Below are 17899 nucleotides of genomic sequence, written 5' to 3'. Positions count from 1 at the left end.
GCCATAATCATTACTTTAATTTCCATAATGGTAAATGTGAGAAATATCATTAAAAGGTCAAGTTTATGGGCACATTTTTTCCCCACTGCATTGATTTTTATCATTCAGGAGGCAAAAATAGAGTTCTTTATTGTGCCAATTCAATGAAACTGATTTTCTGGTGAAGAGTGACAATCCTGAAAGAACTTATATCCAACAAACTACAGAATATTTCAAATGAAAATAAAAGAACGAGGGTAAGAGATAATGGCTTTCTACATTTACAGTACAGCACCACACCTCCAAGATAATCAAGAATTTCTACAAAATGGAGATATCTGTCTTTAAATCCTTAGAAAATAGGAATTAAGTTAATTAATTTTTTTTTCACAGAAGGTTTATAAAATATACCCTGGGCTCACCCCAAGCAAAAACTGTCCAGCGTAAAAAGAAAATATTAAGAAAAATCTGTTTCTTTAATGAAATAATAATTTAAAGAAAACTTAACAGAGCAAGTATTTTTTGTCATAACACAAAAATTACATAGGACATACTAAAATAGGCTCAGCAGATACTTACAGGGTAAAATTATGTACTTCAAAGCCTAGCTGATTCTCAGCTGTGGTGACACATATTAGTAACACATGTATTATGAAATGAGCTATTTGGAGAAAAAGAAAATGCAGATCCTTAACCTCATATTATACCAGAAAATTCCAAATACATGTGTGTGTGTGTGTGTATGCATTTTAGTCAACTGATTAACAAGGATGGACTTTCTAAAATTAAATGGTAAATTCCACAGCAAAAACTAAATAGGAAAACACTGGTAGATCTGAGTGTGTAAAGATTTTAACTTCTGCTCATGAAAATATAGCAAAAGCAAAATTTAAAGGCAAACAAACTAGGAAAATATCAGAGAGGTTTTATACACTTAATATATAAAACATTCATGTAGGCTGATAAGAAAAACCATAAAACCAAGATTAAATGGGCAAAAAAAATTACTAGACAATTCACAGAAGAGTGACTAAGAAATATGTTTCTAATAGTCAGAATATAAATGAAAACAAGACTCAATTTATTATCTTATTAGGTTAGCAATGTTTTTGCTTTTAATAGGAATATTTAATGCCACAGAGGTTACAGGTGACACAAGCACCCTGTAGACTCCTGATAAATCAATAAACTCTGCTAGTCATGAGCTCTGTAACCTTGGGTGAGTTGTTAAACTCTTATGGGCCTTAGTTTCCTCACCTATGCCACATAGTACCCATCTCAGAGAGATGTTAGGAGGATTACTTAGGATGATGTTTGTAAGAGGCAGAGCACAGAATGTGACATATAAGAAAGTCAGTTATTGGCCAAGCGTGGTGGCTCATGCCTGTAATCCCAGCACTTTGGGAGGCCAAGGCGGGCAGATTGCCCGAGCTCAGGAGTTCGAGACCAGCCTGGGCAACATGGTGAAACCCCGCCTCCAATAAAAATACAAAAAATTAGCCGGGCGTGGTGGTGAGCACCTGTAGCCCCAGCTACTTGGGAGGCTGAGGCAGGAGGATTGCTTGAACCCTGGAGGCAGAGGTTGCAGTGAGCCGAGATAGTGCCACTGCACACCAGCCTGGGCGACACAGCGAGACTCCATCTCCAAAAAAAAAAAAAAAAAGAAAGTCAGTTATTTATACATAAAGCTAAAGAAAGTCTTCCCAGGTGAAGCCTTTAAAGTAATACTACATGTGCTTCCCGATGTTTATAATGCCTGCTGCACAGAAATCCCACTTTAGGTCACTAGCCATCACATGGGTAACATGAGAAAGATAATGAAAATATTCTTGAAGTTTCCTGAAGTGCAACAACTGGGAAATCTCTTAGCAACCAACATGTAAAAATATACCTGTACACTCTTTTCTATTCATTTTATCTTGAACGGAGCAGTAAGAAAACCACGTGCTATCCTGAAGAGTCAACTGCATTTGAAGACAACAGATCAAAGAAAATCAAGACCTCAGTTTCTTATGTCCTTATATACATACACTAGGGGACACTTGATGAATGATTTTAAGTTTAAAAAGCATTAGATTTCCAGGTTTACTCAGTAGCTTTTATATTTGAGATCAATTGGGCAAGAAATGTCATGAATAAAATCAAATGCAAAAGGACTTATTTTTGTTACATACACTGGAATTAGGAAGTGGTTTGTCAGAATAATTAGGTTGCCCTTAGAGAGAGAGAGAGAGACAGAGAGAAGTATTTCCTATAACTCTTGTTAGTGAGCTACTGGATATCCATAGTCACTATCAAAGAGTAGGCCTCTATAAATAGAAGCAGAGATCAACAAGTAGATGAATGGTAAAGTATGAACAGAAAGTGGAAGAACCATTTAAACATGTATTTGTCCCATAGTAAATGCTTTATGTGTATTTCCTTACCAGCTAATCCTTATAACATAAAAATAAAAAATTAATGCTCATGGAAGTTAAGAAAACTCAGATCACACAGGTAGTAAGTGGCAGATTTTACATTCAAATCCTGGACTGTCTGATTCCTAAGCTCATAATCCACAAACTCTTCACCTTTCACTACAGCACAGGAAAAATGTAAGAAAAGAAAAAAAAAAAAAAAAAAAAGGAAGAGAAGCTAGGGAGGGAGAAAGTAGAAGAAAAAGATGATAATGTCAGAGAAATAATCTGTAACCCCATGGTTACAAGTTTGCTGGGTGTTAATAATCATTTAAAATATAATTTCTACAGGAAAAATAAATTGGCTTCCAAACAATCACTTACCAAAGAACTTTGGGAACCCAAGAAATTAAGTTGGGAACTTCGTATATATATAACACTTTGGATATTTTAAAGTACTTCTATATCCATTTTATCACTTTAAAAGTAGCTTGTTAGTGTTCCAAGGAAATTAAATAATACCCATCCCCAAAAGAAAAAGATCCTGCCAGGCATGGTGATCTGTGGCCATAGTCCCAGCTACTCAGGAGGCTGAGGTAGGAGGATCACTTGAGCCCAGGAGTTTGGGACTCCATTGAGCTATGATGGTACCACTGCACTCCAGCCTAGGTGACAGAGTGAAACTCTCTTGTCTCTTAAAAAAAATTCTGTTGTGAGATTCAAGCAAATTTTCATTAACCTGAGTATTCTGGGAGTTTGTGTATATTGGAGAGAAAGTTGTAGTTAACTAAAATTGCTTAATATTTAAGTTTACCAAGAGAATATATCTTGTTTTAACCATTAATGTTTATTAATGTTTTCAAAATATCCACCCTAAAAAAATTATTGTATTCACCTGCCTTAAATTATACAATATGTAAAGTTCTAATCTTTAATGAGCTGGGATAATGTAGTAGTACCTGAATGAAGATCATCACTATGAATGTCTGATGTACAGGATAAGAAAAGTTAGTTGCATATATGGAAAAGACAAGCTGAAGTCTAGAAGTCAGTTTTTTTTTTTTTTGAGATGGAGTCTTGCTCTGTCACCCAGGCTGGAGTGCAGTGGCATGATCTTGGCTCACTGCAACCTCCGCCTCCCAGGTTCAAGCGATTCTCCTGCCTCAGCCTCCTGAGTAATTGGGACTACAGGTGCGTGCCATCATGGCTGGCTAATTTTTTGTATTTTTAGTAGAGATGGGGTTTCACTGTGTTAGCCAGGATAGTCTTGATCTCCTGACCTCATGATCCGCCTGCCTCGGCCTTCCAAAGTGCTGGGATTACAGGCATGAGCCACCACACCTGGCCCTAGAAGTCAGATTTTTAAAAGCTGATATGTTAGTATCTCTTTTTAGGACATAGTGAATAAGAACATATATTAAAGTTATATAATGGCCTTTATAATGGTTATCTAATGGTTTTAGAGTAATGTTATCATTAACTTTATATTTCTTTAGTTTTCTGAATCTCAAAAAAAATTTCAATTCAAACATCAAGATTTTCAAGCAATTTTTTGAGACAGGGTCTCACTCTATTGCCCAGGCTACAGTGCAGTGGTGCAATCATGGCTCACCACAACCTTGACCTCCAGGGCTCAGGTGATCCTCTGGCCTCAGCCTCCTGAGTAGCTGGGACTACAGCCATGCACCATCATGGCTGGCGGGCAGAGCTCAGGAGTTCGAGACTAGCCTGGGTAACACGGTGAAACCCCATCTCTACTAAGAATACAAAAAATTAGCCAGGCGTGGCGGCACACACCTGTAGTCCCATCTACTAGCGAGGCTAGTCGCGAACTCCTGGGCTCAAGCCATCTGCCTGCCTCAGCCTCCCCAAATGCTGGGACACAGGCGTGAGCCACTGCACCCAGCCTCAAGTGATTTTTAATGCAATAAATACAATCATGTGATGATGCATAAAGATGTCCCATAAGATTACAATACTGTATCTTCATGTATAGACATCTTCACGTATAAACATTTTCTATGTTTAAATATGTTAGGTACACAGATACTTACCATTGTGTTACAATTGTCCACAGTACTCAGTATAGTAACATGTTCTACAAGTTTATAGTCTAGGAGCAATAGGCTATATCATATAGGCTAGGTACGTCGTAGGCTAAAAATCACCTAATGACACAATTCTCAGAATGTAGCCCTACCATTAAGCAATGAATGACTGTACTTTTAAGGTTATTTATTTTTGCAAATAGCTCAAAAAGGTACTCTGCTTTCTTTAGACTGGTCTTACATGAATGGTTTCTAAACTTTCAAATTTGAATAACAGTTGAAAGTATAACTAATGACCATTTTATTCTAAGACACGTCAAATATATCTTAAGATACGTCTTACGGGGTTTAAAGTGTACATGTTTATAATATATTTACCAGCTATATAGAAAATATTGATTTTCTAAAAGTATAAATTTTATAAGAGAAAAGGAAATACTGTGAATAATTAACTTATTTTTTAAGAGCACAGTGGGGAGTTCAGGCCTTGGTTCAGGAAATAGCATACTGTGTCTTTTCTTTAACAATTGAATAGAAGTCACAGAGTTTTGTTATATAATTATTTACTTAGGCATACATAAAGCAAAATATTATTAGACTTCACTGAGATACAAACTGGCCTGAATTAGTGAAAGTCATATACTATATTTTTAAAGATTCACTGTTATATTATTTTCATGTAAAAATAGTAACCACAATTAGCTGTCCACAAAATGTTGTCAAGCAGAGATCCAGCTGAGGCTCCTTTAATGAATAAAGACTTTTTAAGTAAATTTGTATCTGGAATCTTAATGAAAATCCATAGAAGTCTGATGGTTCTTAGGGCTAGTATACAACAGTTAAGAGCAACTAAATGATTCAATTTTCTGAGATGTTATTTGTCTTAACCAGTGGGTTGTTAACCAGATAACAAAGCTAGGCTAGACTACTAATGAATATGCAATATTTCTTTTTTTCAGCTGGAGATATGTATGTGGTTTCATAGTATGCAAAATACCTTCTTCATGTTCTCACTGCCTTTTCAGAAGATCAGCAGGGAAAAGAGAAACTGACTTTCTTTAACGGCAGCTCTGCAGTATTTCTTCTTCTTTTTGGTCATGAAACAGAAATGGAGGCATGACCTGTACTACTTCTGTTCACTCTGGTCTTAATATGAGAAAATACTATCTTCACTCAAGACCTGTCTACATTCAACACATTTATTACGGAAAGTTCAATGCTTTTTTACTGATACTATTGTCAATCTTTTTCTTTTTTTAAAGCTCAATTTGCTTATGTAGGGTGTAGTCAATTCCACCTTCTCAATTCACTAGCCTTGTCAATTTTATCTAGAGGCTTTGCTCAAACAACATTCTTTCTAGTTGTACTAAACCCAGGCTGGATATATGGCAAAAAGCAGGATAAAGAAGGTTTTAATTTCATATCCCAGATCCCAGGTGCCAGTTTTTAGCCTCAGAATCACAGAAAAAAATTCCTCATGCTCATTTGTAATTTCCAAATATAGAACATAAAAACCTATAATTCTAATGTTAAAATTCTTATCCTTACATAAGTTAACTAGTACTCTACTAAAATATGTTTTACTTAACTGTAACAACAAAGCTTCTTTGTAATTATGCTAGTGAGACGGAAATAACATTCTAACCAGAGATAACCTTCCCAACTTGGGTTGATTCTAAGAAAACTATTTCATGTGTTGATCGAATCGTTGGCGCTGTCAGGGAGGGTGTGCTGAAGAAGACCACTGGCCTTGTGGGATTGGCTGTGTGCAATACTCCACATGAGAGGCTAAGAATATTGTACACAAAGATTCTTGACGTTCTTGAGGAAATCCCTAAAAATGCAGCATATAGAAAGTATACAGAACAGATTACAAATGAGAAGCTGGCTATGGTTAAAGCGGAACCAGATGTTAAAAAATTAGAAGACCAACTTCAAGGCAGTCAATTAGAAGAGGTGATTCTTTAGGCTGAACATGAACTAAATCTGGCAAGAAAAATGAGGGAGTGGAAACCATGGGCGCCATTAGTGGAAGAGCCTCCTGCCGATCAGTGGAAATGGCCAATATAATTATTAAGTGACTTTGGTGTGTTGATGGGAAACTGATGTAATTAAATATTCTGCTATATCGAGGGCGTGTTCATATTACTGACATTTTATAATCAAGAAAAGTGATATAGAAAATATGTAGGAGAGTGTTAAAATTGGTGATTATGGTAATATGGTCATGTGAATCCATTTTTGATTTATAAAGTATTCACACAGGTTATTTCAAAGATGATATTTCTATGAACAGAGAGGTCATGGGAAGATTTGAAAATTATTAAAGAAAAATTCCTACAGATCTTCAATGCAGAGACCATAATCAAAAAGTAAAGTTTCTTTAGTAGTATGTTCAATACATCATTTAATTTTTCAAGTTATCTGGAAGAAGAAAAGGTCCTTAACTATTATAGTCTAAACAAATTTATAGATCACTGTTTGAGGTAAATAATATGAGTGAATATTTTCAAATGTGATAAAATAGCACAAGTGGCTGGTGATAAAATTTGAAATTATGGTTAACCTCAGCTGTGATCTTATGTATGTAAAGCAAAATTTAAATATATAATTATAGGTTGATTACAAAATCCATAATGTCATTTTATTTTAGTCATTATTTGAATTATACCATTTACTCTGTTTTCTGATAGTTTTAATTTTATTATATTTTGTTGTTACTATATTATATTTGAAAACCTTCAAATTAGAATACATTGTACAGTTGAAGAAATTGACTTGGTACTTAAAAGAAAGATTTCCCATTGCACAGAGGTTACTGGAGAAATTTTTCCTTTTGTTGCATTTGTGGAAGTTAGTTTTCTGGACCGTGGCCTTTAATTTTCTTAACCTAATTACATCAGGATAGAGGTAGAGTTTCTGTAAAAGAGACATTAAGAGTTCCTGAAATTTATATCTGGCATACGGATAGGCTTATATTCAAAACATCTTAGTCATACGACTATAAATTAAAAGCGGAATCACTAAAAAAAAAAAAAAAAAAAGAAAAAAGAAAAAAGAAAACTATTTCATGTGTCTTTCCCCCCCGCTTTGGAAATTCTAAAAGGAAAGCCTATAAATAATATCAACACCTTGTCAAAAAGCTGTCCCTTTAAAGGAGGAAGAAAATGTTTCTTCATGTTCTTAAATTAGCATTAGGTATATATGGAGACCCAGAAAATATAGTTAGGAAAGGAGCAAACTGAAAACAGCATTAACTTAGTTTTCACTTATTTGGTTAGCTTCTGCCTGTTCTTACATATCATTTTATGTAAAGCTCAAATTGGAAATCTGTCCTGTGAAATATTCTTCCCTAATGGAATATTTTTTTAAAAACCGAAGATGATTACTCTTACGGCACAAATTTATTAGCATTTATGCAGTAATGCTAGAAACAACAAAAATCATAACAGTATTTTATACAGTAGGCAGTTATTTTAGTGCAGGTACAGTATTTACAGTTAGCCTATTTCAATATATTTTGCCATAAAGGAATTCTGACTCTAAAGTGATAGCCTTTTTGATGTAAATGCTAACAACATTTAAAATTTGAACAAGGAATTTGCAGGAAGAATGCATAATGCTTTTTCTGTGTTTATCAAATTTGTCTTCATTTCAAAGTGTCCAAGAGTGCTATGATTCAGTTCAAGTTGTAGGAGAAGATGAAAAATAATTCTTCAAAGAATAATGAATAATGGTCCTATTAAACCTCCAACTAAAATTGCCAATATATATTTATTGGAAAGAAAAGAACTTTGAGATGACCAATACATTTTGGCAAGTGGTCTACTAAAGGTATGACCAAGCATGACTGTTACTGTTTTCTTAAGTCAGAATTTTTAATATATCATATAAAAGTAACTCAAAGTTTCTATAATCTTCTGCAGGAAACCTATATAGTAAGCCAAATGCAGCCCCCTAAATGATCACAAATGGTACCCATACCTATTTCGCTTTCTTTCCAGAAACTGTCCATCATCATTCAGTGAAATAGATATATTAATATACCACTAGATACTAGGAAACTCCCTAAAGACCTCTCAAGACCATGAAACACCACCCAAATCCAACATAAACACCAGCAAAGGCATATTTATTTCTAATAGCTTAATAACAAGGAAAAAAATACCATTCCCAATCTTCTCCACTTACCCAGGAGTTTTGCGATGATATAAAGTGCTTGTCCCCAAAGAAACAGTTTTCCATCACGGCCACAGTTGCTAGGAAATCGTTTTTGACTACCAGGGTTATTTTTTTCATATTCTACAAAGTCAGCTGGCACATAATAGTACTTTGGTACAACAGGATATCCTATGGAGTTTAAAAATAAGTATTTAAAATATAACAAATCTGTATTAGTCCATTCTCATGCTACTAATAAAGATATACCCAAGACTGGGTAATTTATAAAGGAAGGAGTTTTAATGGCCTCACAGTTCCACATGGCTGGGGAGGCCTCACAATCATGGTGGAAGGCGAAGGAAGAGCAAAGGTACGTTTTATATGGTGGCAGGCAAGAGGGCTTATGCATTTACAAAACCATCAGATCTCCTGAGACTTATTCACTACTATGAGAACAGTATGGGGGAAACCGCCCCCCATGATTCAATTATCTCCACCTGGCCCCACCCTTGACACATGGGAATTACTGTAATTCAAGCTGAGCTTTGGGTGGGGATACAGCCGAACCATATCAAAATTACTGTCTTTCCCAAAATTTCCCTTCAAGACACTGTAATGATTAGAAAGCAGGGAGAGAGAATTCTTATACAGGAGGCAACAGATTTGATAAGCTATAGAAAGCTGGATATTCTGGTTCCTTTCAGATATTGCCAGTGAAAATCATGGAGAAAAAAATTGACTTAAAACACTAATTCAACAGCAGATTGTTATGCTTTGGCTAACAATGAGTACATAATCTCCCTCAACAACATTTAATTTTAATACCTTTAAATGAATCAACAAATACACAGTATGCAAATACTTAGAGCCACAGAGGAAGCTATTTTTAATAGGATTATTCTGTAGAAGCTTCACAAATGAGATACTGTGTAATCTTAAATGAAGAATTATAACTCTGAGCCATTGCTAGAGCAAAGAAATCCCCATTTAAACATTAAGCCCATTATCTACCATTCAATATCACCGAAGAGAAAAAGCCATCTCCCCCGTGACCATTTAAAAATGGGTTGGTAGGAACTAAAATTATTATTTAATAGTAGAATCTTTGTGGATGATATAATGGGAAAATAATCAACAATCTATGTAGGATGCTACAGGAGACTTTTTGCAATATTAGCCCACAGTAAACTTAATTTTTCTAATGAAATTGCACAGATTTCCCTAAAATTTTGCTTCCTTACATATCAATCAACAATATTTGTGTCTAAAATCAGTAAGAAGGTCTATGATATACAGATAATACTTTGAACATCACTCTCTGAACATGATGAAGCCTGAAGTGAGGTACATTAAACTACTACATCTCAATGCATCAAAGATCTAATACTAAATATTAAAAGATCTGCTTCAAAGGATTTCAAATATTACATGCATTACAAAATTTAATACATTATTTCTCACATTGGACAAGTGATTATTTGTAGCATAAAGACAAAGATAACTTTTAAAAATTAATATTCACTTTGAAATCAATGTTTATCCATAAACATTTCACAACTTTTAACATTACAAGCATGTTAGTGAGCATATAATATTAAGTATTTACTCTGAGATATCTGTGGAAAACCCCAAAGAATATCACAAATTTCATGTGAGATAGGAATGGGGCTCACTGCTGTGATTGTCAATACTTTAAAGCCCCAAAGACATCTAGAACATCTCATTTGGAATTCCTTTGAAAATTGGTTTTCCAGTTATACAGAAAATTCAGCTATGTTTTTTGAGGGTCCCTGCTGGTGTTTGACTGAAACCAATATACCCTTACTCCTAAGACTGGGCCTTCTGACCATTTCTCAAATATTAAATCCATCCTCAAAGGACGATGTTTTAGCACCATGGCAGATGTTCAAAATACAATGCTAAGGACCCCAGAAAAAACTCCAAAGAGGGGGCCAGAATATTCTCGGCAATTCTAGTGCCTTTAGACAAGAGCAGAACCTCTCCAGGTAGCCCTCCGCAGGAGGGGCACTCACCTGACTATAGCATTTTTGGTGACCTGTATAAAAACTAGTCACTTTCTATACAGAGTAATGGAGTTACATAGTAAATAACAGATGAAGGAACTCAGTCCACCTGACAAACTATTTTGGAATGACTATTGCCATGTCCACCTAGATTCATTTCCATCTTTGTCTTGCTTAATCTTCTTTCTGATTTCATATCAGGGATCATTCATTTTTTTCAATTTAATACAAATTATTGTTTTTTACAAAGGACTCACTTATACATTTCAAATAAACATTCAGGAAATGTTGGTAGGAAGAATTTCTTAAAAAAACAACTATACCTTCTGTGGTATGATGAAGTACTGGAGTCAAAAGATCCTGATATTCCTGTACTTGCTTAGGATTGCCTCTAAAAACTCCTAAAATATAAAATATAAAATCCAATAGCAGCTGAGCTTAATAAGGATCTCAAAAATTTTACCTTAGAAAAAATATATTAGCCCAGTTACAATTATTTTGGTAATTTTCTATGCCAATGGTAAAATTAAAGTGGAAAAAAAATGCAAATCTGTGTGATATTTTTCCAAGAAATTGGTTTTAGAAAGTCATGTTAGCATTTAGAATTGAAAACTGAATTTTAATTGAATTTTCCCTATTCCTAAGTATAAATGTTACAGACATTCACATTATCATGGATTACAGTATTAATGATTTCTACTAATAAAAATTTTTCTTTGTAAATATGAAGAAAATATATATGCTATCATTTTTTAAATGCTTCCAAGTGTTTTTTTAATTCTTTAAATGATTTAGCATTCACTCAGAAAGCAAAAGAGTAGTATATACAAATGCAGGGCAATTAACATCACTGAAGCGCAGTCTATTTTTCTAGCTGAAAAGAGTCATAATTTATTTCTGCTCTTCTTTAAACCACTTAAATCCTACAGCTTAAATTTCAGGAAAAAGCTTGCTTAAATTTCAGGAAAAAGCTTACTTACCATCAATCATCATATAAAGGAAAAATATGGGAAATTCACATTCAATGCCATCAAATAGCTAAAACAGAAAATAAAACATTAAATTTTACACTAACAATTAAATTATTATTATTATTTTGAGACAAGATCTCACTCTGTGGCCCAGGCTGGAGTGCAGTGGCACAATCACGGCTCTCTGCAGCCTTGCCCTCCTGGGCTCAAGGGATCCTTTTTCCTGCCTCAGCCTCCCAAGTGGGAGGGCTGGGACTATAGACACAAACCACTATATCTGGCTATCTCTGTCTCTCTCTCTCTTTCTTTCTTTCCCTTCCTCCCTCCCTCCCTCCCTCCTTCCCTCTTTCTTTCTTTCTCCCTCTCTCTCTCTCTCCCTCCCTCTCTCTCTCTCTCCCTCTCCCTTTCTTCTTTCTCCTTCCTTCCTTTCTCTCTCTCTCTCTCCCTCCCCCCCCTCTTTTTCTTTCTTTCTTTCTTCTCAGAGATGTGGTCTCCTCCCTCTGTTGCCCAAGCTGCTCAAACCCCTGGCCTCAAGAGATCCTCTTATCTTGGCCTCCCAAAGTGCTGGGATTACAGACATTACAGGCATGAACCACTGTGGCCAGCCACTAACAATTACATTAGAAGAACTATAGTTAGGCGATATGTCAAAGATTTGTTTATAGCAATAAAGTTGAACTGATTTTGTAAGCAGTTTCCTTGTCCTTTTTTTAAAAAAATTTTTCCTCAGATCTTATTATTCAAAAGCTCACTCATTCAGTCCATCAAACTGCAGTCCTTCAATAAATATTTACTGAATACTTACTAATGCCTGGAACCAACTAGACAGAGAGCTACTAAGACAAAAGACAGAGAACTTCCCTCAGAGGCTCACAGCCTAATAGGGAGGCCAGCATGTAAATAAACAACTACTATGCAGTAGGAAATATCTACACATGGTATGTCAGGCTCATAGGGAGTGGAACACCTGAGTCTGCCTTGGAATCAGGGAATGTTTACAGGAAAGGAGATGTTTCAGCTAACGCTGGATGGAATTCACTGGGGAGATGAGCTAAGGTAACTCAAGGCAAAGGAAGTAACAGTTACAAACCACAGATGCACAGAATCACAAAGTATGTTAAAGAATCTACCAGCAATTCAGTATTTCTGCAATAAGCAAGGACGAAGTAGTGAAAACTGAAACCCAACAGATGGGCCAGGCCAGCCAGATCGGGAAGGGCCTTGCAGGTCATGCTAAGTAGCTAAGACTTTGGTCTGGAAATAAAAGAGAACCACAGGTGAATACTCAGCAGGATCAAATTTACTCATTATATTTACTTGCTAGACTGAGCAGCTGGTAATACCGAAGAGAGTTGTAGGGCAAAAAACAGGACCAGCTGGAATTCTGCTGGAGCAAAATCCAAAGAGAAAAGATGACAACCTAAACTGAGCTTTCTCAACTTCAGCACTACTGACATTGTGGCCAAATAATTCTTTGTTGTTGGGCTGTCCTGTGTGGTGCAGGAATGTTTAGTAGCATTCCTAGTATCTACCTTCCAGATGTCAGTAGTACCTACTATATTGTGATAACCCAAAATGTCTGCAGACATTGTCAAATGTCTCCTGGAGGGCAAAATCGCCCCAGATCCACTAGCCTAAACCAGGGAGTAATAGAGAGGAAAAAACAGAATTTTAGGATTTTTAGGAGGCTAAATCTGCCAGCCTTGGTGATTGACAAAGGTAGATGGGTGAGAAGGAAGTGCCTAGAATGACTCTCAGGTATAGGGCTCGGGCACAGGAGTGGAAGCTGAATACAGGCAAACTGTAAGACATCTAAGCGAGGATGTTCACAAGGCAGCTGCATACAGGGGGTGGGCACTTGAGGAGAGGTATGAGTTAGGGATGGAGATCTGTGGTTAATAGCTATAGCTGAAGCTAAGAGTTCACAGCCAGAATGAAGAGAGCTAGGGCTGTGGATGGGCCCTAGGAGAAGAGCAAGGTTTAAGAGGGGGCAGAAGAGGAGGAACCTGCAAAGGAGACTAAGAAGTAAGTGAGAGAAGTGGAGAATAAAGAAAGGGGTCACAGCCAATGGAGAATGTTCCAACAAACAAGACTCAGCAAAGACACTCAAATGCCAAGTTCTGTGAAACGAGATCAGAAAAGCATCCACTCCGACTCAGTAATGTAAATGGATTGAAGCCAGCACAGCTACTGGGGAGTGCTCAGAAGTAAGCCAGTTTGTAAGGGGAAAGAGTAAGCGGGATGTAAACAAGGAGACACCAAGTAGAGGCCATGCTTTTCAGATGTGTGGCACCAAGAGAAAGAGGATGGAGGTGGACAGGGAAAGGGCTGAGGAAGGGTTTCGTTTGGTTTCTTAATGATAAACATCAATGTGCTTAATGACGAAAAAAGCTAATTTAAGTTGGGGAAACAAGACAGAGAAGTAGAAATGGAGATGAGGAGAAAAAAGAAAGAGAAATAGATATCCTTCTATCACAGAAGAAAACAAGTGAGGGTGTCAAGAAAGGAAAAGAGAATAGGATGGGGTATACACAGGATGGGTTAGCCTTAGAACAGAGAGCTCCTTCTGTGAGGCAAGAGAGATGGAGGTAAGTATGGATGAAGGAAAGACACAGTGGAGGAGACCATGCAGAAATGAAAGGCTATCAAGTAGAAAATAAAAAGGAAAGTCTGCGAACTTGAGTACAAACAGGAAAAAGCTGGAAAAGCTTTCATGGGGAGTTCCTGGCAGAGTCAGATAGCAGGACTGACAAGAACCGACAGCAATGATGAGGCTGAACCAAGAAAGATCTCCTGACTGTGGGGCAGCTCCTACCCACAGTGCTGTGGCTTTCCTTAGTGGTGCTCAGCAGAAGGTGAAGAAAGCTTGCTGGACAGATCCAAAGCAAGAAAGCTTGCTGGACAGATCCAAAGTTGGAAGTGTGCGAGGTGGTAGTTAGTTGCAGGTGGTCCAATTCAAATGTAAGTGCTGTAAATATTGGCACAGAAAATGTATTAAATAGGAAAGAAACATTTGAAGGTGTTTAAGAGATAAATGGATCTTTTGGCCCAACCTAACAGACTGTAACACTGCCAACACTGCTAAAATTTCAAAAGTGCACACAATAAAATGGTTTCCAAGTGATAGTCAACCGTGAAATTAAATAAAGCTGGATGTGGTGGTGTATGCCTGTAGTCCGAGCTACTTGGGAGGCTGAGGCAGGAGAATCACTTGAGCCCTGGAGTTCCAGTCCAGCCTGGGCAACATAGGGAGATCTGGTCTCTATTAAAAAAAAAAAAAAAAAGTTAAATAAAATGATAAATAGCTTGTCTAGTTTTTCTGCAAAAGTGTATGTTAAATTTTAAAATAGTATGTTAATTGCCAAACAACTTAAAAGGTATAATGTTGCCTACATATTTTCTACATACAGATTCCTAGGGACCTTACCTACCTTCAGTGAGTGAGCCAATTATGCCCATGCATACAAAATACCTTTCAGCCAGGCACAGTGGCTCACGCTTGTAATCCCAGCACTTTAGGAGGCCTAGGAGGGCAGATCACTTGGTCAGGAGTTGAAGACCAGCCTGGCCAACATGGTGAAACCCCATCTCTACTAAAAACACAAAAAAATTAGCTGGGCTGGGCATTGTGGCATGTGCCTGTAATCCCAGCTACTCAGGAAGCTGAGGCAGGAGAATTGCTTGAACCCAGGAGGTGGAGGTTACAGTGAGCTGAGATCATGCCACTGCTCTCCAGCCTGGGCAACAGAGCAAGACTCCATCTCAAAAGGAAAGAAACAAAAAACCAAAATACCTTTCAATACACTACATTAAAGCAAAGTCTTCAGCAATGTGCATGACTTCTTACTTTTTTGGGGTGCTATTTTCTAGATGGCTTAAAAGCAGCTAGTATAAAACTACATATAGTGGTATATGTGTTTTGAAATACAAAATATTTTAAAACTAAACATTTAGAGGACTATATTTTAAAAGAAAGTGTCTAAATGAAACAGATAAGGGAAGATGGAATGGCCTATCAGTTTTAATAAAAGAATTTGCTTAATAGAATGAAAGGAATATTACAAACAGGTATTTAATATTATATAAGACAAATAGTATGGATCAGGCAAACATAGGACTGAAAATGCAATAGAAAAATTATTCACCCAATAAATGAACATGGCCCATTATCAGTAAATACCTCACTGGTAATAAGAGCTAACACTTACTGAGCATTCACTATGTGCCAAGCACTATTCTAAGCACTTTTATGTAAGTTATTTAATCGTCATAAGAACCTCATGATATAGGTACTATTATTATTTTACAAATGAAAAAATTAAACACAGACAGAGATTAATTAACTGGCCCAGGGCCACATAGCTAGTAAGTAGCAGAGCCAGAATTCAAACCCAATGGTCAGTCTCCTGAATCTGTGCTTTTGATTGCTCTGATATGCGATTACCATGGAATATTTTTTAATACCTTAATTTCAGCTGGCTTGTAGTAGCATCTGTTGGGATCTTCCAATGATGTTCTATACCCATCTCTCAAGAAACGTTTAAATCCATATTTTCCTTTTAATTTTCTAACCACTTTATCAAGTGTCTGGCTAAAAAGAACTTCATCATCCAGGGCAAATGCAGGATAACTGATGCAGGGGAGCAGGGCAGCATCTGTATTCTGGAGGCAATGAGAAAGAGAGACTGTGAGTGTCCACAGCGATGTGATCAACACAGCCCAAGGAGAATGATAGAGATGAAAAGCCAGTGAGGTTATGCAGTCAAAAGTGAGCACGCTCTGCTCCCAGGATCAGACAGATGTTTCTATGGCATGTTCCAGGAAACCTTACAGAGGAGATAAAACTTTATTTGTTGATAGTATTTTCAAGATTCAACGGGCTCAAATGTCAAAATATTAATTAAAATGGTGCGCAAAAATTTAACAGTTGTCACAACTTAGTTTTTCACAACAATTTGCTTATAATAATGAAAAAGAGGAAACAACCTAAATGTCCAACAATTAGTTGAGTAAATTAGCAACTATTAAAATTTATATTGTAGAAATCTGTTTACTGGTATGGGACAATATCCAATATCCATTCACAGAGCTAGGTTATCAATCAATATAAAAAGTACTCTTATAGCTTTGTAAAATAAAAATATTATATATGTCTAAAAATAAGTGAAAACATATATACCCAAATGTTGTCAAGATTGTATTAGAGTAGTGGCATGAGTGGGTATTATATTATTTGCTTATTTGGGGAGCTTTTTTTTTTTTAATGATAATCTTACATTACTTACATAAAAGAGTTGTTTTGAATAACTAAATTATTCCACTTTGGGTGTTTTCTAAATAACAGAACCACAAATAGTCCCTAGAAAATTCTGCAATCAGGTAGGATAAGCATACAGAAGTTGATCAGGCAAGGGGAAAAAGTGAATTGAATGAGAGAACAGAAATAAGGAATGGAAGGTTATTTTATCCAAAAGATATATACACTATGAAAAATATTTTTCTAATATACCATGGCAAAAAAATAATTCACCTTGGCCTAATGTTGCTACTCCCCCAAAAGAAAAGTCTGTTTTTCTATTCTCCTGCAAAAGATTCAAAGGCCAAAGCAGCCGTGTCCACAACTCTTGTCCACTTGCTAAGACCTCCCCAGGCCAGAGGAGTAAGGGGCAATATCTATCATGTCCTCTTATCCCTTCTGGACGATCACTAACATTTTAGAGTACTTTACTGGAAATTAAGATATAACTACATAGAAATCATAAACAATAGTTCATGTTAAATTTATCATTATTAAATGTCTCACATGTGATCTTGATTCTCTGGGTAACAGCGAGCACAAAGTTTGCCTGTTGCGATTGTGAGCATCGAGATCCACAAATATAACTGACCACGAACAGCCCTGGACAGAGAAAAAGAAAAACATTTCCTAAATTAAGAAAAAAGACTTGTAGAACTTTGGCATTTTGACTGTGAAAACTTCACAAAAATACTGACATTGTCTGCATCTTGAGTGTGGAGTTCCAGAAGATTTAAATTTTGTTTGTACTTTCAATATTTCTCAAATATCCTGCAATAAACATTAATTTTATAATCATAAAAATGTTATTTTTGTTTTCCCTAGTTTTCCTTGACTTTCTTATAAATCAAAATGTACTGATTACAAGATAGCCAATATATTAGTGACATTTATTTTAATGAAAATACAATTAGTTTAGCTAACATGACAAAGAATGAGAATGCAGATTCATAAAATCCGAGTTGTACATTCCTCATAAATATTGACTATATGATCAAACTAAACAAATTTAGATACAATCTAG

At 36.1% G+C, this 17899-nt stretch overlaps 1 protein-coding gene and 1 pseudogene across 3 annotated transcripts in view; one reads left to right on the top strand and one right to left on the bottom strand.

The window, feature by feature from the left end:
- PHKB (phosphorylase kinase regulatory subunit beta) overlaps nucleotides 1–17899 on the bottom strand; it is a 240225-nt gene that overhangs the window by 96378 nt on the left and 125948 nt on the right. For all 3 annotated transcript variants that reach the window (NM_001363837.1, NM_001031835.3, NM_000293.3), the window contains 5 exons: nucleotides 17383–17478; nucleotides 16044–16241; nucleotides 11589–11646; nucleotides 10932–11009; nucleotides 8615–8773 (listed from right to left, as the gene is read on the bottom strand). In NM_001363837.1, coding sequence (NP_001350766.1) covers nucleotides 8615–8773; nucleotides 10932–11009; nucleotides 11589–11646; nucleotides 16044–16241; nucleotides 17383–17478 — 589 coding nt within the window. The remainder of the gene's footprint in view (nucleotides 1–8614; nucleotides 8774–10931; nucleotides 11010–11588; nucleotides 11647–16043; nucleotides 16242–17382; nucleotides 17479–17899) is intronic.
- NDUFA5P11 (NADH:ubiquinone oxidoreductase subunit A5 pseudogene 11) lies at nucleotides 6125–7453 on the top strand (annotated as a pseudogene).

This window comes from Homo sapiens, chromosome 16 (assembly GCF_000001405.40).
Source record: "Homo sapiens chromosome 16, GRCh38.p14 Primary Assembly".
NCBI classification, from domain to species: domain Eukaryota; kingdom Metazoa; phylum Chordata; class Mammalia; order Primates; family Hominidae; genus Homo; species Homo sapiens.
Note: the sequence above shows the minus strand (reverse complement) of the source record. Positions and strands in the feature narration are given on the sequence as shown.